Source organism: Homo sapiens, chromosome 18, assembly GCF_000001405.40.
Source record: "Homo sapiens chromosome 18, GRCh38.p14 Primary Assembly".
Taxonomy (NCBI): Eukaryota; Metazoa; Chordata; class Mammalia; order Primates; family Hominidae; genus Homo; species Homo sapiens.
Genome location: NC_000018.10, coordinates 37701909 through 37703621, shown reverse-complemented (window position 1 = coordinate 37703621; position 1713 = coordinate 37701909).

Below are 1713 nucleotides of genomic sequence, written 5' to 3'. Positions count from 1 at the left end.
CAATCTGTCCAGTGATGGTGATCAAAGAGGCCCTGTGCTCCAAGGTACAGTTCCTTGATGGAAAAGACTATTTGGCTTAGATCCTTGAGTCACCACATGTAAGTCAATTGCTTGGAAAATTATCTAGACCTGCAACTGACTTCATGTGTACAGAGTATAAAGCTTTGTGGTGTTGGGCCACTGACATTTGGGAATCTTTTTTTCCTTCATAAAGCAGCCTATCCTGGTGAGTACAGAGGCCAGGGGTGGCAAGGAATGGGGAGAGGTGGCAGCAGGGAGCAGGGGCACTATGAAACTGATAAGAATGATGAGAACTGAATGAACAGCTTTCATGAAGCTGGATGTAAAAGGTGGCTAGTAAGAGATATAATCATTGAGGTATTCATTAAAAGGCAGGAATGTTAAAGAACTGTTGGGTAGACTGGATGTAAAAACCGAGGGTGTTATAAGAATGAGCAGGATTTAGATATGCAGAAAAAAAGGGAACATTGCAGTTTAAACAAATGGCTTCAAGGAAAGCATAATGATGATGATCATGAGGAGGTGGAGGAGGAGGAGCTATTGAGGGAAATGCTCAGTCAGAATTGAAGCCAGCTGAGACTGTAGGGACAGGCTGCTCAATTCACCCATCAGTGAGGCCTGACTTACAGAAGCATCAGCATTGGGACAGGCCCCAAACAAGGAGAAGGACATTTCACAGGAGCAAATGTTACTTAAAATTCGATTTACTCTTTTTTGTTGATTTAGGGTGGCTATTTAATTAGTTTTTAGCATTGCACATTGTTTATGGTCATTGTTTCAATAGAAGTTAAAAGTAAGAAACTTTACCATGCCCTTGATTTGTAGACAAAATAACTGTTCCAGATTTCTCTCTTGTCCCCTTGCCACATTTCTGATTTAACAGTGTCTCTGACCTGGTGAATTGCTTCTAAATCATATCACCAGGTTCCCCGAGCTTCTGTTGTGTGGAACTTCTCCCATAAGACAACATCACTAAAGCTGAGAAAACACATCTTCTCTCGTGTCTCAAGTGATAGGTTGTCTGATAACAAATGCAATAGGCCAAACGAACATTTGTGTTCTGAAAATGGCATTCCTCAATGTGGAAAATTCCACAAAATTTGTAGCTTAAGCTGAGAAGTTCACTTTGAAGTCCGCCAAGACTGACCCCTGAGCAAGCCTAGGACTTGCCCATGAACCAAACCAGGCTTGGAAAAGGCTCCAGGAAAGGCCACTTCTTGTCAGTTGTGGATCTCTAATTAATAAATACAAGGTATTCAAATTTGAACCATGTACAAAACTCTGTGCTAAGAGTTATAGGGGTAGGAGAGCAGACCAGGATCTGGCCCACACCCCTCCCAGCTCTATTTGAGTACACATAATCAGTTCTCGAGGAAAGGAGGCTAACAGGGTGTAACAGCAGCCATGGCGTTCAGGCTCCCTTCCTGTCTGCCACCAGCCTCACAGCCTGCTTGCCCAAGCACGTTTTGTGAGCCAAAAAGAGGAACAACCTCAGGAAGAACTTCCTGAGAGAATTCAAAGCACAGACAACTGATAGAAAGTCAAGATTACCTAAAGTTCTAAAAATGAGACAAGGATGAGCTTGATACAAACTTAGCATATGAAGGAATGGTCTATTTCAGGAATATTCCTATTTGTGGGAATTGCTATAAGTTGTTAGAGGATGTGCTCTTTGAAAAAGAGGCTTTCCTC